The sequence below is a fragment of the Homo sapiens genome, chromosome 1 (genome assembly GCF_000001405.40).
Source record: "Homo sapiens chromosome 1, GRCh38.p14 Primary Assembly".
In the NCBI taxonomy this organism is placed as follows: Eukaryota; Metazoa; Chordata; class Mammalia; order Primates; family Hominidae; genus Homo; species Homo sapiens.
The window spans coordinates 234806223-234827167 of record NC_000001.11 but is presented as its reverse complement, the minus strand read 5'-3'; the positions used below and the strand labels follow the sequence as shown (position 1 = coordinate 234827167).

General features: G+C 48.4%; 1 long non-coding RNA gene across 2 annotated transcripts in view, besides 4 other annotated features; it reads left to right on the top strand.

The window, feature by feature from the left end:
- Positions 1-14332, top strand: part of LOC107985365 (uncharacterized) — a 63991-nt gene extending 49659 nt beyond the window's left edge. For both annotated transcript variants that reach the window (XR_001738533.2, XR_001738534.2), the window contains exon 3: positions 12692-14332. This is a non-coding gene — a long non-coding RNA (uncharacterized LOC107985365). The remainder of the gene's footprint in view (positions 1-12691) is intronic.
- Positions 10091-10590: an enhancer, noted in NCBI's record as "H3K4me1 hESC enhancer chr1:234952325-234952824 (GRCh37/hg19 assembly coordinates)". NCBI's record gives its function as "activates a minimal SCP1, AML or CMV promoter by ChIP-STARR-seq in naive H9 embryonic stem cells {active_cell/tissue: H9 hESC(naive)}" and the evidence as "EXISTENCE:reporter gene assay evidence [ECO:0000049][PMID:30033119]".
- Positions 10591-11092: an enhancer, noted in NCBI's record as "H3K4me1 hESC enhancer chr1:234951823-234952324 (GRCh37/hg19 assembly coordinates)". NCBI's record gives its function as "activates a minimal SCP1, AML or CMV promoter by ChIP-STARR-seq in naive and primed H9 embryonic stem cells {active_cell/tissue: H9 hESC(naive and primed)}" and the evidence as "EXISTENCE:reporter gene assay evidence [ECO:0000049][PMID:30033119]".
- Positions 19779-20362: an enhancer, noted in NCBI's record as "H3K27ac-H3K4me1 hESC enhancer chr1:234942553-234943136 (GRCh37/hg19 assembly coordinates)". NCBI's record gives its function as "activates a minimal SCP1, AML or CMV promoter by ChIP-STARR-seq in primed H9 embryonic stem cells {active_cell/tissue: H9 hESC(primed)}" and the evidence as "EXISTENCE:reporter gene assay evidence [ECO:0000049][PMID:30033119]".
- Positions 20363-20945: an enhancer, noted in NCBI's record as "H3K27ac-H3K4me1 hESC enhancer chr1:234941970-234942552 (GRCh37/hg19 assembly coordinates)". NCBI's record gives its function as "activates a minimal SCP1, AML or CMV promoter by ChIP-STARR-seq in primed H9 embryonic stem cells {active_cell/tissue: H9 hESC(primed)}" and the evidence as "EXISTENCE:reporter gene assay evidence [ECO:0000049][PMID:30033119]".

The following is a 20945-nucleotide window of genomic DNA, read 5'->3' as shown; positions in this document are numbered from 1 at the left end:
TCCTGTTCATGTCCAGAAACTTCTGGGTTGACTTGTGAGTTACTGGCTAGTCTTCCAACTAATTTTTTTCTTGGTGACATTCACAAGAGTCAGGAGTTTTGTTTATTTGTATCTTCATGGGTATGAGTTGGAAAATGAGAGAGATTTTCCTTTTCCATCCTCTCTCATCATATTATTGAGAGATGAGCACCCAGAGCTAGGGTGTGACCATTGATAAACAGAGATGGTGAAAATGCCGTAAGAAAGAAAGGCAGTAAAGTTTAGGATGTGAGGCTAGAGGAAGGTCTAGCTCATTGTTCTCCTGCAGCCCTGAACCCACATCAACAATATCGGTTGGCAAGCCACTATCACATCACATTGAGACCACCTGTACCACTGTCACCATTACCAGCAGCACTGCCCGGCACTGTAACCATGATGGTCTTGACTAAGTCAGCATCTCTGTGTACTCACCTCCTGTCTTCCTCTAAGCTCCTCTCAACAGATTCTCTTTGTCCAGGGTTCTTAGCCAGCTTGGATGTGAAGCTGAGGTGAGGCTGCTTACAGCCGTAAATAGGGAGCAAACACTATGCCCGCGCCCGAGCCCTGGATGTTGCTGTATCCACGCTATGTGGGCATGTGATGGTGCTGTCCATCTGGAAATCTTAGAAAACGGTGTTTTTACCTGTGCTCATGGCCGTGGGCAAAAGGCCTCTTACAGACTCTTAGAAGAAGATAACATAATAAAAGCTAATATTTGTTGAGTGCTTATTATGTAAAATCTCCTTTAATTTTTCCACCATCCTTATGAGGCAGGTGTTATTATTATCCCTAATTTACCCGGTCTTGGTGGTAAAGACAGCCCACCTTTGCTGCTACCTTGCTGCAGTGCCCGTGCAGGAGCCTACAGGCTCCTAGGTGGTTTCCAAAGCTGACTCTACATCAAAATTCCACAAAAAGTCGAGACAACTGCAGATTTCCAGGGTCCACGCCCAAAGATTTTAATTCAGTAAACCTTGAGAGGGTGAGGGTGAGGGCTCGGAGATGGAATTATTGCAAGCATCCCAAGGGATTATGAAGGAATCTGCCCGTGGACAAGCCCCCAGGAACACTGGCTGACACGAGCACATATGTGGCCATTCCTGTTCTGTGCGTTTGGCTGAGAAGGCGTGTAGGTCACAGTATTCTTTCCTGCTAAGCCTCGACTTGGCCTCAGAATCCGTCTCAGTGCAGGCAGTGACTAGCAATCATTTGCAGGTGGCTTCAAGACAAAACCAATTTGTCATCCTCAGCCTAGAGCCTCCAGAAAGGGTACTGAAGAAGCTGAGTTTTATCACAGTCCACCAATTCAACAAAGAAAATGACAGAGTATCTCTGCACCTCTGGCTTCTTTCTACTGTGCAATGGGGGGAGAAGATCATGAAACTTTTCACCTTCCTGGAGAGGGTAGATTCTTATCTCTAAATTACTCTGTTAGTGAAGGGAATGCTGGCTATTATAACATTTTATAACATGTTATAACTGTCATTGAAACTGTTCTGTGGTTAGTTTTTTTTTTTTTTAAGCAATCAAATGATCAGGTTCTACCCCATGAATTGGATTAGCTTGCACATGTTGGACCTATTAGTTAGGATGGCTCTCAACACCAAATCAGTCACATTTAATCAGCAGCAGGGAATGGGAAAGGGGTCCTGTTCCAACCAGCCCCTCATGTTCCAGGCAGATGAAGGCTCTGTCGTCCTTGATGTATGTTTTCTAGATCCCCCAGGTGTTGACCTCCAGGAGACAGATGGTAGTGAAAGACAGTGGAGAATTGCCCAGGAAGCTCTTTTTTTTTTTTTTTTAAATGGAGTTTCACTCTTGTTACCCAGGCTGGAGTGCAGTGGCGAGATGTCGGCTCACTGCAATCTCTGCCTCCCAGATTCAAGCGATTTTCCTGCCACAGCCTCCCAAGTAGCTGGGATTACATGCATGCGCCACCATACCTGGCTAATTTTGTATTTTTAGTAGAGACAGGGTGTCACCATGTTGACCAGGCTGGTCTTGAACTCCTGACCTCAGGTCATCCACCCACCTCAGCCTCCCGAAGTGCTGGGATTACAGGTGTGAGCCACCATGACCGGCCCAGGAAGTTTTACAGATCGCTGGTAGAGGGAAAATTGGCCGGAACCCAGTCACATGGCTATGCTCAACTGCAAATAGCCTGGGAAATAGAGCCCAGCTTGCCCAGGAGGAAAGGGAAGCGGGTTTGATGAGTAGCTAGCCAGAGTTCCCTTGGAGCTAGGGGGGTCTGTGGCCATGCCCTAGAAGGAGTGATTGAGTCCCGCAGAATCCACAGTGGGTAGTTCTTGTGTCAGTGACATGTAATCTTGTCACTCTTGAGTTGTTCCCATATTAGACAATTAAAATACATTCAATGGGACGGTTTTCAAATTTTGAATAGTAAGCACACATACACTCACACACACACACACACAAAATCTAAGAACAATAAATACTTTAAAATTCTTCGGTGGGCGGATCACGAGGTCAGGAGATCGAGACCATCCTGGCTAACACAGTGAAAGCCCGTCTCTACTAAAAATACAAAAAAATTAGCTGGGCTTGGTGGCGGGTGCCTGTAGTCCCAGCTACCCAAGAGGCTGAGGCAGGAGAATGGCATGAACCCGAGAGGCGGAGCTTGCAGTGAGCCGAGATCGCGCCACTGCACTCCAGCCTGGGTGACAGAGCAAGACTCCATCTCAAAAAAAAAAAAAAAAAAAAAATTCTTCTTCCTCATTTGAACACTCTATAGTAATATTTTTGGAGTTCTGGAATTCTCTCCATTATTTAACAATCTCTTATAACTTTTATGGAGCTCTTTACAGTTAAGATCTTAGAATGCCTGTCCAGCTCACCTCATGGTTTTGTTTTTTTTAGCTGTTTGTCTTCCAAACTGTTTTCTTCAACTCTAAGGGAAGCCTGTCAGAATCTGTCCTGGTCTTCTCCGTATTCTGAAATGAAGACTGGAGGGATAAATAGAAGTTTCTGGCTTCTTTGGAAAAATGTTAATCTGGTTCTTTAATTTTGGAAGCAGGTGTCCGTGGTAAGGAAAGTGTGTGCTCTGAGGCCACCTCTGGTATGTGTGTGTGTGTTTGGGGCTGGAGGGTGTGGGGTGTCACCTGGCCAGAGCATTGAACCTCTTATTGTCTCCATTTACACAATGAGGATAATAACAGCAACCTCACAGATGGTAGTGAGGTGTAGGGGAAGCAGTGCCTGATGTATGGTAGGCATCAAAACTGGTAAGTGTTGTTATTCCTATTGTTAATGCCAGAGTCAAGGGGCTCAGACATGGCTCGGGATGTGTGGGTAGAATTTATACGTAGGGATAAGAATCTGTACATATAAATGCAGAACAAAGGTGTGGTCGGGGGTGCTCTCCCGCTGGCCCGCTCCCTGAAGGGCTTCTATTGGGGGTGTCTCCGAGAGTCCTCCCTTGTAACAAACCCTGTATGCCCTCCAGCCCTCGCTGCACAGTGACTCAGTTTCCTCTGTGATAAAAGGGGATTCGACTACAGTTCTAAACTTGCCTGTAAAACACATTGAGAGCTTTGAAATAAAGGTGGTATTTAGTGTGAGTTCAAAGCGTTATGTAATTATTTTATTGCCCCTTTTATTCCTGAGTTTTTTTTCTGTTTGCTCTGCTTACAAACCCAAGCTACAGCCATAAAACCACTTTTATGCCAGCGCCTTTCACACACATTGTGTACCAACCGCACATCGCCATCAAGGTGCAAAGTGCTCAGGAGGATGAGCATGGAGAAGCAGAACAGGAGCGCCAGCAATTTCCGCCTAATTGAGGCCATTACTGTGCACTGTCACTGAAACTGGGTCATGGTTGATGGTTTTTTTTTTTTTAGCTATCCAAATGACCAGCTTCTGTCTCGTGAATTGGATTAGCTTGCTCATGGGGGACCTGTTAGTAAGGATGGCCCCCAACATCAAATCAATTCTGTTTCTCAAGCCATCATTCTTTCTTGCAGGTTCAGAGCCTATGTCCTGCCACCATTCTTTCCAGAGTCCCATTACCTGAAACCATAGGATTTTTTTTTTGTTTTTGTTTTTGTTTTTGAGATGGAGTCTGTCTCTGTAGCCCAGGCTGGAGTGCAGTGGCATGATCTAGGCTCACTGCAACCTCTGCCCCCCAAGTTCAAGCAATTCTCTTGCCTCAGCCTCCCGAGTAGCTGGGACTACAGGTGCAAGCCACCACACTCAGCTAATTTTTGTATTTTTAGTAGAGACAGGGTTTCACCATGTTGACCAGGCTGGTCTCGAACTCTTGACCTCGACCTCCCAAAGTGCTGGGATTACGGGTGTGAGCCACCGTGCCTGGCCTTGAAACCATATGATTAAAGAAGCTTTGAGTTGGAAAAGACCCTAGGGGTCTGCTGATGTCACCGCCCACCCAGGTGGAAGTCCCTTTTACAGCATCCCACGTGGACAGTGGCACAGCCTTTGCAGCAAACACAGGGTCCACCCTCACTATGTGGAGAGGCCTCCCATCCTATCATTGGGTGGATGTGGTTGCAAAATGCTTTTCCTTACGCCAACAGAAACGTGACTAAACTCAGGTGAGTCCCAGAGAGCAGGAAAGGCTTCGAAAGCTCTGTCAGTGTCGGGCCTCTTTAAACCCCTGAGCGGGAAAGGAAGAAATTCAGGATCCGAGGGGGCATTTCCATTCTGGTTCTTTCTGAACTTGGTTTTACAAACCCTGGTAAGTGGCAGCCCATTTAAACGAGGCACTGCTTGGGGTGAATTTAACAGGATTGAGTCTTCAAGGGCAGCATCTTTGTTGCTGTTCTGATCTGTGCCTTTCACTTTTAGTTAAAATAAAGAACTGCAAGCCAACATATTATGGAAGAACAAGGGAAGCCTCTCTGGCATCTGCCTAACCCACCAGGAGCTTAAAGGGAATGATCCAGTCCTCAAATTTATGGCCTAAATCATTTATTCAGTTGCATTCAACACATTCCTACTGTGTGAACAGTCCTTCAGGATAAGAGAATTCAGATCGTTACGCTTGAGAAACTTACAAACTCCTTAGGGAGGTGGGAAACTTTAGCTGGACAAGATCACTGTACACCTCGCCCCTATGGAAATCTCACCTTCAGACATTGGAGAAGTGCAGTGGCCATTTGGAGCATCTATTCTTCCTCCCTCCATTGGTCTTTGGGTCACGCACACCCCAGAGAACAGCTTCCTTCTGTCAGTCAGCGATCTCACCCCATGGACCTAGAGAGCAAGGAGAATGTGAGTGGGTGCGGGGCTGCAAGGCAAGCAACCTGACTCTGAAGACAGGTCCAGCCAGGGAAAGCTGGTTCTGCGGCCAGACAGTGACAACCAGACGCTGGGGTTGGCGGTTAGATGCTTTGCAGGAAGCCCATGAAAAAAGCTCTGCAAAATTGTATGGAATAAATGAACACGTGAGGGAGTAAATGAACCTGGAATCTACTCTATGTCTGCCCATGGTCCCAAAGTATTACCCAACTCCATCCTCATTCTTCTGTGCCATATGCTTTAGTCCAGATGGCTCAGGGAAGGAGATTTCTAAAACCAAACAATTCTAGACACCTCTTGCATCTGAGTGCATCCTCACACTCCTTTCCTAAGAGACTTTATAGAGCAGAGGATTCTAGAAGCAAGGTCTTGTGGGATTCTCCCTCTTTTAATCTCTCAACAAAGATAGGCAGAGGAATTTATTATTATCCACTTAAGTTGATTGGTGTCCAAGAAAATCCAGCAGTGAGTGCACTAATGTTTAGGTAGAGCCTTTTAATGTGAGCTCAAAGCACTTGGGAAAAATTTTATATTCATAGTGTTCAAGTGAAGCAAGTAGATGTCAAGAATTATTATCCCATTTAATAGGTGGAAAATCGGAGGCCCTCATTCATAGAGTGAGTCAAGAATACAGCTTGGGAGAGATGCCAAGTCTTTCTCTGCCTGCACAAGTAGGTGAGATACCACGCGAATGTCTCTGTAACATGGGTTTTGGCATATTTGCCTTCTCTGAAGTCAGCTTTCCCTGGTCAGGGTTCCTGCAGGAGCCAGATAGTGGGGGATGGGTGCAAAGCCATCTATACCTTTGCCGTGTCAGTCCCTGGGAGGGGAGGATGGTGGGCTTCTCTCCAGGGGGCCTCTGCAGCTGTGTTCCTGCACTGTCTAGAGTCTCTTGGCAATTCATATTTCTTGTACACTCTTCATTCTTGCCCTCTTCCTCTTGGGACACAGGGACATACCTCACCTTCCCCAGTGAGTCCCACATCCAGCTTCTTCTTTTCTGCTGCATCTCCTGGGAATTCTCAGGGTCTTCAGCCTCAGGGTGTCCATTCCTGAGCTGACCACTCGCCTTCCTCATTGCCTTCTTTGGTCATACACATGGCTATGCCTATGGCTATGCTCAGAGTCACACAGAACTGTCTCACTTCAAAAATATTGGGCCCAGAGGTCTCCCTGTCTGACTACAAACTCTTCCACCACTTGCCAAGAACTCTGTCTGACTTTATCCATCCTCTACTCCACTGTAGGCCCATGGCCCACCCATTTCAATACTGTTTCCTTGAGCCTATGAAACCCCTCCTGCATCTCCTAGTCTTCACTGAACATTATGTCAATTCCCAGCCTCAGCTCTAAATGCTCATGGTTTCCAAAAACATATTTACAACCCACCATAGGTCCTGAGCACCAAAGCCTGATGTCCAGTTGCCCAGTGGACAGACATCTCCACTGGGACATCTCATACGCACTAAAAACCTCAATGTACTGAAACCTGAATTTATATTTCTCTCCCCAAATGTGCTCCATTTCCATCTTCCCTTTCTCAACATCCATCCAGTGGAAATGTTGCTCAAACCCAAGTCCAGAGCCACCCTTGGCACGCTCATCTTCCTGAGCCCCCCACTTCCATCGGCCACCCAGGTGCTTGTCAGTTTTCCCACTTTCTCCCTCTCCACAGCCCTTTTCCTAGTTCAGACCTTCTGTCTCCCTTGTTGGGATCATGTCAACCTCTTCCTCACTCGCCTCTGGCTCTGGGCTTGTGCCTTCAACCGACTCTTCAAACCGTAGCAAGAGGGATGCCTCAAATCACAGATCAGATCCCTCTCTCCTTAAAGCCCTGCAGCAGCGTCCTGTGGCCCTCAGGATAGAATTCAAACACTTCCAGGATCTGGACATCTCCTGCCCCTCCACAGCCCTGCCTCGCCCTGCATTCCAGCCCCACCAAACCACAGTCAGTCCCTTCCATGGTTTTGGATCTCTTGTCTGGGAACTTTGCACCTGCTGTTCTCTCTGCTTAAACTCTCGCTTTCACCCATGCGACCTGGTTCACTCCTCACTCTCCTGCATGTCTCAGCTTGGAAGTCACCTCTTCCAGAAAGCCTTCCCTGACCCTCAGGTCCAGGTTAGATCCCCCACCTGGATTCCCACAGCACCGTGTTTTTCCCCTACCACAACCCTAGTCATGCCCTTTAGTGAACAGCCAACAGTTACTAAGCACCTGCTGTGTTAGGCTGTTTCTTAGGACTTTATAAGAAAGATCACATTTAATCCTACGAAGTAGGTACTGCTATTATCCTATTTTTTAGATGAACAAACTGAGGCAAGAGCAGTCACACACACATAGAGTCAGTAAGTGGTAAAGTTGGGATAGAAACCAAGACAATCTGACTCATGGATGTTACACCGTGTGTTAGAACTAGCCTTGAAAAAAAGACACAAGCTTGTGCCCTGTGCCAAGAAAGTTTCTGATAATGGTGGCGGTGGTGGTGGTGGGATTTAATCAGTTGGCAGAAGTCTGTATTTCTAACAATCTCTGATTCAAATGGGCAGGACCCATGTCCATTTCTCTTTATTGCAATTGTATTATGTTTCTTACCTTCACTCTGCAACAAGCTTGGTGAAGACAGAGAACATGTATCTGAGGCCCTTCATCTCCCCTCAGTTCCTAGACCAGCACTAGCCCATAGTCAACCCTCCATCAAGGTAGAGGGAGAAAGTAAGTGGCTTTTACCCTGTGCTTTCTGAACTCCTGGGATGCTAGGAAGAGCCAGAAAACCTTGTCCACCGAACCCACAAATTCACTCTCTTCATCCCTTCCTCACTCCACTTCCTTCCCAGTAGTTGTTGGAGTTTTTGAATTTTCCCTCTGTGAGCCCTTGCCCTCCCCTGCCATGTTCTCAGCAAAGGCCCTGGCCTCCAGGTCCATGAGAACAGGATTCCCTGTAGTAAGAGCTCTTCCCTAGCCTCCTCCACTTCCAAAGGGGCTGGAATCTTCACCCCTTGATCCCTTCCCTTTTTAGAGCACAGAGGAAGCGGGGCCCTCCTCCTGCCCTGGGCTCCCCTGCCCCACATGTTCCTGGAGAGCACCCCTGGGTCACTGTTGTAACCACATGGTGACTTGCTTGCTCTCATCCTTCATGACCCCCCCTCCTCCCATGCCCCACTTTGTTAATTTCACTCTCCTCTCAAAACTCCCCACAGTGCCAGTGATGGGGTATAAATGCAGCTGGGCAACGAGGCTCCCACAGACAGACCCAAACCTATCTTCCAAGTGTTAATTTCTTTTCTCTCCTCTTCTTCAAATAGGTCTCTTCCTTACACATTTCTGCCATTCCTTTCTCTCTCTGCCTTGCCTCTCCCTTTTCTCCCGGCCACAGCCTTATCCAACCTCCCAGCCCAGCTTGGACTCAGCTTTCCTAGGAGGCTCCCAGACAATCCAGTGGGCTCTCATTTTTTTGAGTGTATTCAGCAGTTGGCTGATGCTGCATCTCCAGCACTTGCCCTAGGTTGTTTTATCTCCCTAATGGCCTGTAAACCCCTTGAGGGCAGGATCTGGCCTTTGTACTCTAAAAAGGTCTTCCTACTAGAGAATGCTCCACACATGTGTGATGCTTCGGGGAGTCCCATCCTTCATCAGAGATTCCCACTGGTGCCAGCTCATAGCTCATCATGACGTGTCCCAGATGGTGACTGGGAGTAGCCTATGCCAAGCAGGAGTTTTTCCCCGAAGTCTTCCTGTTTATTGCACCGGGCTGGCTGCAAGACATTGAGGATGCTGCCCCAGGTGCCAGCAGGGTGACTGGGGCAGGCGCCATGATGGCTGTGCCTGGGTGCTGGCCAGTGTGGCCCCAAGAAGAGGCCGGGAGCCAGAGCTGCATGCCTCTGTCAGCACCAGCCTCCTAAAAACACTCTCGACTTTCTCCAAGCATGGATTGCCTGAGCTCCCCTCCTGCTCCCCAAAGAGGCCGGGGAACGAGTCAGACAGGGGATAAGTCAGACAGGCTCAGCTGTGGGAGGCTGGAGCAAAAAGACCAATAAAACTGACTTTATTTGTAATGTTCCCATGTTTGTGATTTTGTTATTTCTACTGTTTCCTCGGAGCAATGAAACAAGGAAACGGAACAAAAAATAACAAAACCCAGCTCTAAGTATACGTGAACTGTAAGGCCTCCCTCTGGCCTCCTCTCTTCCTCCTTCCTCACCAGGTTTGCCTGGCTGACCCTTCCAGCCAGTGAATTCCTTTCCCAGGTTGAGTGTTTTCCATTTTAATTTTTATGGCATTTCCCTGGATTAATGGTTAACGCATTCATTTTCTCCCCTCCACCCTCCATCATCAAAGAGTGCTTTGAATAACCATTAACTCTCTGGTTAAGCGAAAGAAACACGTTAATCATCTACAAGTCCTGGGGCAGGAAAATTATTCTTGGTAACCTTCTCCCAGTGGCAAGAAAACCACTGTCCCTGAGCAGCTCAACTTCAGCCACACCTGGGTCTAGAAGCTTGCAAAACCCCTCCGGTAACCTTGTTACAAGGACCTGGTGAGGTCATAAACTGCTGAATGGCTAAGCGCTGTGCTTTTCAACCCAGCCACCACCGGTTCTCTAGGACCCTATAAAGAGACAAGGCTGGGCTGCTGCTTCTCCCTTTACTTTTAAAAATTGTTTTGCCAGTAAAGTCTCATCTATTGTACATTCCTTCTTACTGGGAAACTCAAGTGGCTGTACAGGCTGTTCTTGGAGCCACAGTTAAAAGCGCTTTGACCCAAACACACATGTGGCGTCATCCTGAGCTCCGTTTGCGTGGGGCCGGAACACCGGACTAGGAAACCTCTCCCTGCTTTAGCAACTGAGTGTGGCTAGATTGAGGGACCACAGGGGGTGGCTCTGGATGCAGCAATCCAAGTCCCCCTTTCAGGGAGGGTGACCTCTTTCCGAAGTTCAGTGGATGGCCCCCTTCCAGGGTTAGGGAGACAGGAGGAGGAGGAAGAAGAAAAGGAGGAGGAAAGCTCTCAACAGCCCCCCACCCCCAACCCATCCAGGAGAGAAGGACTGCAGTCCCCGAGACCAGCTGGAGGAGTGGCGTGTGCATGGTGTGCCCGCAGGGTAGAGCGCGCCATCTTGGAGAGATGCCTCTTTCATTCACAAAGCGGATCTGTTGCAGAGCCCAGAGCCCCGGGGAGAGCAGGGCGGCGTCCAAGTGCTTGCTGGATTTGGCTTGCACTCCCTCTCCCTTAAAGAAGACAGAGGCGGAAGGGAGAGGCTGTTCTTCGGAGGCGAGCCTCAGGCACTGCTAGACTTATTAGGAAAGATATTGCTGGGGTCTTGGCAAGCCGTAGGTGCAGCGCTCCCCATCGTCATTCCGGTGCGGCTGGTTACTGTCACCCTGCCTCCTCCCCGCCGGCCTGAGAGCCTCTCTGTTCCAGATCCAAACATTTCCACATTAGGCAGCCTGCATGTGCATTTCCCTGGCAGTGGAGGGAAAGGCACCCCTGTGACCTGGGATGACCGACGACGGGGACTTGCCCTCCTCCCCCACAGGTGCACTTGCTCTTTTCTGGGCCAGCCTTGTGATCTGGTGTCCGGGCACTTGGCAGCATTTAGCAAATGTTCCTCAGTGCTCTGTTTGGTAGTTAATGCTGTTGACACGGACACCTTTGGGAGCACGTGGGAGAAGCTGCTGCCTCCGTTTCCCCCGGGTTACAGCGCCTGGCGCAGCCTGTTGTCCCCTCAGAAGTGGTGGGCGACATTATCTCCTTTTTCATCCCTAGCCCTCTCCCTTGAAGCTGTCCTGATCTCTCTTTTGGACCCAGGAACGTGAGCAGAGGTTATTACTCACTATATATACACACTGCATCTAGACTCATGCATGCCTTCTTGGTGTCAAGGACACCTCACATTTCAAAGACTTCATGAAAAAGAACGTGAGGTATCTCACACGGTGACATGATAAAGCTTTGGACAACGTGGGTTAAGCTAAAAACAGGTCATTACAATTAATTGTATCTCTGTCTTTTGACCCTTCAGTGGCTCCTGAAATCCATCACACATGTGGCTTGCAAGTATTTTGGTCGGACAACGCTGCCATAGATTGTCCCACTGTGAAATGGTTCCCTCTGGGCTTACGGGACTACTATAGAAGGGTCCTAAGGTCCTGTGCCTCCCTGCTTTTCAAGTGGCTGCAAACTTCTGTGCCTACCGCTTCCTCCACTGGATGTTTCCTTCCTGCCCTCCTCCCTGAGGACCTCCTAGTCCCCCTTCAGGATGCAGAGCTGGAGCCTCCACTCCAGGAAGCCACTCATGTTGTTGCCAACACAACCCCCTGCACACATGCAGTATTAGGCATTGGTCTGCCTGGCTGTCCCTGGGCTGTGCTGTCCTTGAGGGCAGTTTTTGTGTCTAATTCCCAGAGAGTGCAAGAACACAAGCATGCTCATCCAGACGTTAGTAAGCTGCCCTAAGGGGTGGAGCAGTCAGATTCCGGTTTTATTTATTTTTCCCCTGCAAGGAGCAATCAATTATTAACCGAAGTCATGATACTTTGGTTGCTGTTATCAGCACATGAAAATATCAGTCAAGGCTGGGTTTCAGACCCGCCTGGCACTATTCAAAGGAAATTTTTTAGTAATTCTTATTTTATTAAGAGCACTAGTATATTCAGATCAAGTAAAACTTCACATATAACAGGTTCACTCTTCTATATGAAATGTTTGTGGGAAATCTATCATGCATCAGGTGCTCTCAAAAGGTGGTGAGGTGTAAATGTCAGCCTCAAAGGCTGCAGTGTCCAACATGGCACACAGCTTGTGTGGCTCTTAGCACCTGAAGCATGCCTCGTCCACAGTGAGATGTGCTGAAAATGTAGTATACATCCAGATTTTGAAGACTTGGTAAAATATCTCACTAGCAATTTTTTATATTGATTACATGAGGAAGTGATAATGTTTTGGGTTGGTTAAGTTAAACGTATTATTAAAATTCATCTCATCTGTTTCTTTTTAAAAGTGGCTTCTAGAGAATTTTAAATAACATGTAGTTCACATTATATTTCTATGAGACAGTGCTGCTCTAAGGCGATTATGCTTTGTTTGTTTTGAGACACTCACAGGTGTATGTGAGCATTTCAACCGGGTTTATAACAGCTTAGGAAACTGGGAACTTTGACTTGGAACTTTCCCGCCAAGTGACAAAACATCCGTCCAGTGATAGAAGTTTTAATTCTACTTCCTCCAGCTAGATCTTGCCTGGAGGACCCACGTTGACTTACTCTCTCCAGAAACGGCCCCACTGGCTCTCTGGGGGAACTCCTGGGTTCTGCAGGGACTTGCTAGGTAGTAATTACAGGTGTGTAGAGACCCTCCTGCTTCATACGCTCAGTCATCATTATTTACTTTTACCAGGCACCAGGGGCGTGATGAGAGCTTAGCTGAAAGGAGAGAAGACTCAGCAAGCACATCACCTTGAAGCTGACCTGTCAGCCAGATTTCGCAGCACCTGCCTGTTCCAGCCTGAGGGGCTGCGATTCATTCCTTGGGAAAGAGAGCTGCAAATTCCCGCTCTAGGCCACAGTCCAAATCCTTGCTCTTCTCTCTCAGGTTCTGGAAGACAGAATGGAGGCATCTACAGAGCAAGGACATGTTTTCTACCTGAATTAGCTTTTCTGACACCTTCAAACCATCTCTAAGAAATTGATTTTTTAACATACACATATACAGGTAAACATTTAAATCTGTGCCATAATGTATTTGCACTTCGAGTCCCCCTGAAGTCCTAAGTCACATGCTTCTCTTCCTAGGGGTTCTGTCTGAAGCAGAGACCCCTGGATTGGAGCAGTGGGAAGAATCCTGATGAATCAGGTGTTCCTGCCTGTTTACATTAACTGGGCACCCTGCCTGCCCACCCCACATGCTGAATACTGCTGGGGAGAAGAGAAGAAACATTTATTAAAGGCAAGGAAAAATTAGAGCCTTTTCATTGAGGTCAGAAGATTTTTGAGGTTGGATCGGCTGGCCAGGTGCATGACCAATTTTCTTGGCTCCTTAGAAGCAGCAAAGTATTTGAAAAATAATGGAGCCCTTCGTCCTACAAGTAAAAGCCCATTTATATTGGGAATTTTTTAAAAAGTGCTGGCGATGGAAAATTTCCGATGAGATGCATTTCTTCCTGCCTGAATGTCTTGAATGCCTGCTGGATTTGTCTCCCTGCTAAGACACTCACACTTGCAAATCTGTGCTTTTCAAGGTGGGGAGATGAAAATAAAAAGTCTGTGAGATGTATTTCTGGGAGGCCTGAAAACAGGAAGCAAATTGGAACCACAGCATGTGGGGCACGGATGCTGGATTCTGGGGGATATTTGCTTATTTGGAAAGGCTGCAAACATTCCATCCTACCCACTGCTAGGAGCTCTGCACTTTGCTAACGTCCCATGGAAACCAAGGTTCTCTTTAGGACTCGACAGGACTGGGTTATTTTTCTCAGCTTAAATTGTTTTTATATGGTTATCCTCAGTACTCTTTTCTGTTTTGGGATATTTTCATACTTTTTATTTTTTAAAAACCCCAGAATATCTTGATTTTGAAAAGGTACATTCACCCAAATAAAGTGCCCAGCGCATAGACAAGGCTGCCTCAATATTTCACGTGTCAACAGCCAATGCCCCCAGTACGTGCAGAAAAGCCTGAGAACAAGGAAGGAAGAAAAGGGTCTGGTCCTTGCTCTGCGGGTATTTAAGCATTTCTCAGCCCCCTCCTCTGACTTCTCAACTATGTTCACCTATATGGCCTCGAATGGAGAGAACTGGGGTTATAAAAGAGGATATTAGCTATGCCTGCTATAGAATGAGGAAGGCATTTCAGGATGTGCTTGGGGAGGAGATGGAATGAATGGCAAAGGGGATGTTTGTCCGTGAGGGTGGTCTGTGATCTGTGGGTGGGGGATGTCTGTGCAGCTCCCTTCATGGCCTCTCATGGCCCACACAGTAGGCAGTGTTTGCCACACACAGACCCTGGACAAAGTCACAGAGTGGTGTTGGTACCATTTCATAGGAGGGGTCCTAGGGGACATTCTAGGAAGTTCTTCATCAGCTTAGGACGGTGCAGCCTCTGCAGTCATTAAACACAGTCTACCAGCCAGAGAAGCCCAAAAGCTGCTGCTCCTGCTGTTCTGCGTGGTGTGGGAAACTACGGCATTGGCACAACTTTGGGAGCTCTCTTTGATCTCTTGTTTGTCTGCATTTCCCATACTCTTCCAGTCACCAAGTGTCATCATTCTTCCCCAGGTTGTCTCTGTCTCCCTTCCTTTTCTGTCCCCATGACTCTTACCTGTATCCAAAACTATGGCGTTTAAGGTGAAAGAGCCAGTCTGTAGGAGCTGCTTCGAGGAAAGTCTTGCAAGACTGCCTTCTTGAACTTGGTGCTCAAACTCCCCTCTGGCTTCACAACCTGCATAGTTGCCTGGGTCAGAAACAGGTTCCTCAGGCAACTTGGTGTTGCATTAACCAAGTGACACTGATTGTCACTTGGAAGACACTCAGTGACTGACTATTAGAGATCATCTGCCTCTCATTTTGGGGATGTGAAGGTTGAGACTCAGAGAGGTCAGGCAACATGTCTGAGGTCACTGAGCCAACTAGCAGCAGCCCCAGAGTTGTCACCCAGATTTCCCGACTCCCTATTCATTCCCCAAAACCTACCCATGGGGAATGTTCTGCCAGGCTGTTCTACATCACCAGTAGAGAGAAGTTGCCTTGAGTATTCGGTTTGGTTTTGAAGTTAACCTATTCAGACACACTTGAGCATGCAGTGAGTCACTGACTGGATTCATTCCCAGACCTATGGACTCAGCGCATCAGCTCACCAAGCCTCCTGCATACTCTGCTTCTACGCTGGACAACTGTGCATTTTGAGAAGCTGGAGGAAATTGTTTGGCATAGTGTTCTAGGCCAGCAGTCATGCGATACTGAGCTAGGCCTGGCTCCTATAGGCTGGTGAAAGCCAAGTGTTAGCTGTTCAGGATTTTTTTGAGTTGGTTAACTATTGATAGCTTCAAAGTCGCCATGGCAGGGGTATTTATACCATAGAAATTGGTACATGTTACAAATTAGGGTTTCATTTTTCACCATCCAGAGATCTGATTTACTAACTCACTACTGATTCTGAGGTAGGACCCCAGCTTAGGAAGGCACTTTCAGGCAAGACTGTTCTGCGGTAATTAGGAAATGGAGAGTGGCCCTGTCAGATGCAAAGGAGAATATCAAATTTGGAAAAAAGTACTGCCTATTGCACAAGAGGTAAGAGTCACTGAGACATCTTGCACCAGACCCAAGTGAGGGATGGAAGGGGCCCTGATGGTCATCTTGGGACAGCTTCTTAGGGTCACCCAGGAGCCCAGGAGCCAGGTATGCCACTCTGTGGTGGGACAGAAACCCCTGTAAAGAGCAAGCAGACACTCAGTCACCCAGGACCCTCCCCAACACTCCCATTCCCTGCAATCTATCAGCACATCCTATCAATCCCGTCTGGAGTAGATATCTGATCACGCCTTCTCTCCCTTGTGACTGCCATGACCCAAGTCCAGGTTCCTGCTACATCCTTCCTAAAAGGCCTTCCCCTGCAAGCTTGCCTACCTCACATCAACTCTCCCCACATAGCTGCAAAAGTGGACGTCTGAGAAGAAGGGGGAGGAAGAGGAGAAGAAGGAAGAGATGAAGAAGGCGAAGATGAAGAAAAAGAAGAAGAGGAGGAAGAAGAAGAAGGAGGAAGAGGGGGAAAAGAGGAGGAGATGATGTTATGTCATCCCTTCACCCTTCCCCTGCACACACACACACACACACACACACAGACACACAGACACGCACACACACACACACACACACCACGAAAACCCTTCAAGAGCTTCCCATTGTACTTAGAATAAAATCCACGCTTGAGTAAAGCTCTGCATGATTTGGCCCCTGCAAACCTCTCCAGCCTCCTCTTGCTTGGGAGCCTCTGTGCTCACAACTCTCCTGTCACCCTGGTCTTCTTCCAGGTCCTTGAATGCTGGCTAAGCTCTTTGCTGCCCCAGGACCTTCGCACCTGGTCTTCTACTGGCAGGAATACTGTTTCCTGAGTCTTCCCCTGACTGGCTCCTTCATTTCCTTTAGGTCTCAGCTTGAGTGTAACCTCACAGGGCCATTTCCTGCTCACCTGGTGAAAAGTCAGGCCTCGTCTGTTCTCTGTTTTAGCTCCTAAGTTTCTTTACGACAATTATTTCAGCCCACAGTTCTTTTATTTACTTGTCTGCTTACATTTTGTTTTAATCTTTTCTTTACTTCCCCCCACTTCAACAGATGCTCCATGGAGAAATGGGTTAACCACTGCATTGCCAGTGCCTGGCATATAGGGGTGCTCAAATAAAGACTTGATGAGTGGGCTGGGTGTGGTGGCTCACACCTGTAATCTCAGCACTTTGGGAGGCAAAGGCGGGCAGATCACCTGAGGTCAGGAGTTCGAGACCAGCCTGGACAACATGGTGAAACCCTGTCTCTACTAAAAATACAAAAGTTAGCTGGGTGTGGTGGTGAGTGCCTGTAATCCCAGCTACTCTGGGAGGCTGAGGCAGGAGAATCGCTTGAACCTGGGAGACAGGGATTGCAGTGAGCTGAGACCGCACCACTGCACTCCAGCCTGGGAGACAGAGCGAGACTCCATCTCAAAAAAAAAAAAAAGTTGATGAGTGGTTCATTCTACTGCCACCACCTATGGGAAGACAGGTCAGGAATGTTGAAATGAAAGAAGTGCTTGGCTTCCTCTGAGCTCCAGCTGGACACAGGCATCTGTGATGCATCCAGATTCAGGCTGCTCATGGACTCTGAGGACTCAACGCTCCCGGAGGGCTAGCAGGGAGCTTTGCACACATACAACCAGTTCTCACCAAGCAATTGGGGATTAATAGTGCAAGGGGTTAAATGGGTTCAAACTGTTCCTCTTAAGCTCACCAAGATGGTAAACCGTACTTCAAAGCTGCTTGAAAATTCTTACTTGGTGAGCATGCAGTTCTGTGTCCCTTTTGGGCAGAGGATTGGGAAGGCAGCCACCAAGGCCGCCTGCCGAGTGAACAGGGGGAGGGGGCACTCCAGGTGACGTGGGTGCAGAGACCCGCTCATGCCTGACCCACAGTTAGTGCACGCTCACAGTGGTTCCAGTCTTGTCCTAGCGACCCGACTGGCCTGGTTTGTTATTGGAACTAGAGCTGATGATTCACTTTAAATAGATCCTTAACCTCACAATTTGTTTTTCTTGAAACGGTCCTGAGAGGTGCTTTCCAAGAAACAAGGAAAAAACTGACTGCACAGTGGTGACTTTGAGTCTGTCTGCAGAAAGCAGTGTGAGTGGATGGTTCATTCCCATGGCAAAGCCTTTCCCTGTCACCCGGTGTCAGGGACAGTGAAAAAAACGGGCCGTAGCTTGGGAAACAGGGGTGCTCTGCAGTTGCCGTAGCAGGTCTTCAGGGAGAGCTTACGGGAACCCACGGTGTAGGGGCGGGGGAGGGGGACTGGGTGTGTTCATTTCCCGGGGATGCTGTAACAAATTACCACAAACTGGGGGCCTTAAAACAACAGAAATGTATTGTCTCACATTTCTGGAGGCTGGAAGTCTGAAATCAATGTGTCGCAGGACCACACTTCTTCCTTGCCGCTTTCTGGCTTCTGGCGCTTGCCAGCAGTCCTTGGCAGTTCTCGGCTGGCGGTTGCATCTCTCCAGTCTCTGCCTTTGCTGTCGTGTGGCCATCTTCCCTCTGTCTCTGTCTCTGTCTCCGTATTCAAATCTTTTTCTCTTTGTGAGAACACCAGTCATTGGATTTAGGGCTTGCCCTAATCCAGTAGGATCTTATTTTAACTTGATTACATCTGCAATTACATCCTATTTTCTAATAGGGTCATATTCACAGGCATCAGAGTTAGGACATCAGCATATCTTTTGGGGCTGGGGACTCAATTCAACCCACCACAGGAGAGGTCCCCTTGCTACTAGGCGGGTAGTCATATCACACGCACATGTCGTAAACATGCTGAGCAGACAAGAACCCAAAATCTCTGATTTGGGTAAGATGTGATTCCAAAATGTGGAGTGCAGAATTGACTAAAACGTTTTGAGGCTTAGAGTAAGAGACTGCTGCAGTTTAGGAAGACTTCCTCATTAAAAGATTCCAAAAGACATATTCCATGAGTCACCAGGGTAGACTGAATAATGAGCGCTCAAAGATGTCCGTGCTGTAATCCCGGGAGCCTGTGACTATGTTACCTTGCATGACAAAAGGGACTTTACAGATGTGTTTAAATTCAGGATTTGAGATGAGATGATCCTGGATTCTCTGAATGGATCTTCTAAGAATCACAAGGGTCCTTACGGGAGGGAGGCAGGAGGGTCAGAGTCAGAGAAGGAGACGTGATGGCTGAAGCAGAGATCAGAGCGCGAGGGGTTGGAGGATGGAGGGAGGATCTAGAAGAGGAAAGCAGGCAGCTTCTAGAAACTGGAACAGGCAAGGAAATAGATTTTCCCTTCAGAGCCTCTGGAAGGAGCTGACCCTGCTGGACGCTTCAATCCTAGCCCGGTGAGACTGATTTTTCCTTCATGACAAGTCAGTTGATGTTGTTTTAAGCTCCTAAATTTGATAATTGGTTACAGCAGCAATAGGAAGCATTGCAGTCACATAGCCCAGTTTGGCGTCTTGTATTATTTTAACAAGCTCTCCATCAATCCACCTGTGTATCATTTTAGTCTGCTAACACCAAGAACAATATGTTGCATGTGGAAGACCTTAATAACTACTTGTTGGATGCATACTCTGAGAGCTTATTATACACTCGGTAGTATGCTAAACCCTTTGGATACATCCCTGTCCTCCTATCTATCAGTGTGGAGGAGAATTGGACATTGAACAAATAATTTTACAAATAAAACAGACATTGATTTATGTGACAAGTGCTGTCACAGAAAACCACAGGGAGACGTGACAGGGTAGAGTCGGGGAAACCTAACTTCAACGTGGGGTCAGGCAGAGCCTTCCAGGACACTCCCAGCTGAAGCCAGGACTGGACATACCCTCGCTTGGTTCCAGTTTTAAAGACAAGACACTTTGCCCAAGGAGGTGACCCGAGTTGAGCACTCGGAGCGTCCACCATCTTTTCTGAATGGTGCGAGGTTGTCTGTTGTTCATGGAGCTCGTGTGGGGTAGGCCAATCCCTGGTCTGAACTTGAGGCGGTGACACATTTTCATCTTGGTTCTGCCGTGGGTTTAGCGGGTGACCTTTGACATATCGTCTGCCCTTCCTGCATGTCGTCTGTGCTCTGGCTGACAAACAACGATCTCACCAGCCATCAGCGCTCCACAGGAATGAAAAGAGTGAGTGACCAGGACAGGGAGGGAGGAAAGAAGAAGTTGCCTTGTTGCCACGGCCTTCCTCAGATGTGCCTCCGTGCCTTGGGTCACCCCTGGGGCTACTGGCACCTTCTGAGACAGAGCCGGGGCTGAGGGCTAGATTGTCGTTCACTGGGCACCTCTGCACCGGGGAAGGGGACGGGAGCTGAGGAGGGGGCACTGAGCAAGGCAGAATCCTTATCCCCAAGCAGTTGCTGACAGGTGGAGAGACAAATGCAAACACTCAGAATGCAAACACACAGTGTCCAAAGCAGAAGCAGCAGGAGGGGCGTGGGCTCTGCCCCAGGAATTCAGGTGCACAGAAGGAGCTGGGCCTGCAGGGATACTTTGGGGTTTGGTAAATGAAGGCGGGGTCGTGCACTCTGCAGTGGACAACAAGAGAGAAGCCTCCCCACACATCAGGGTTACACGTGGCTTGGGGTATGGCTTGCCACCTTCTCCCGTTTCTCCCCACATGAGTAAGGGCGGTGTCCATTATCTCTCAAGCAATTCCTACCTCCCTGGCACTGGTAGATGCTGGACACATGGTACCTCCTCCAGCCTCACAACAACACTGTCACATCGTCACCTCCATTTCTCAGATGAAACTCAAAGAGGTGACACTTGTCCAGTGTCAGGTGGCTGTGAAGATCCCAGCACAGTCTCCTTGCATCCAAGGCCCTAGCTCTTACCACATTGTTGATCCTGGGTTGATGGTGAAGGTGTAAGCTGGGGTTCCTCCCCAGCCCCTACCTGTCATGTGCACACCTGGCCTTCTCTGGGGGTGCATTTCCCAGCTGAGGAGACTGTCTGCGTGTGTGGCTCCGAAGGAAGCCTAGCTGGTGAGTTCAGAACAGGCCCTGTGTGTGATGTGGTGACCTGAGGTCATAGGATACAGACTGTGTCCCAGGAGCACCTGCCATTTTAGGGGTGGCTCAGGAAAGCCTCTGAGCTCCCTGGAGGAAGTTGTCCCCTCTCCACTGCTGCAAAGGAGAGTTGGTCATGGGGCCAGGCAGACACTCTCTGGACATGCTCGTGGAAGAGCTCTTTGGGAGAAAAGACACTCGAGCATGCCAACAAGAGGACTTAGGGGCCAGAATGTTCTGCCACTTGCCACTCGCCAACCTGAAATCTGCACCTCCTAATCACCTCCTCTCAGCCCTGCCTCATCAAGTGGGGTCTTGCAGGAACTGCTGGCAGCTCGGCCACCATCGGGGAAAACACCCCAGTCAAACACAGGCTCTCCTGTGCCTT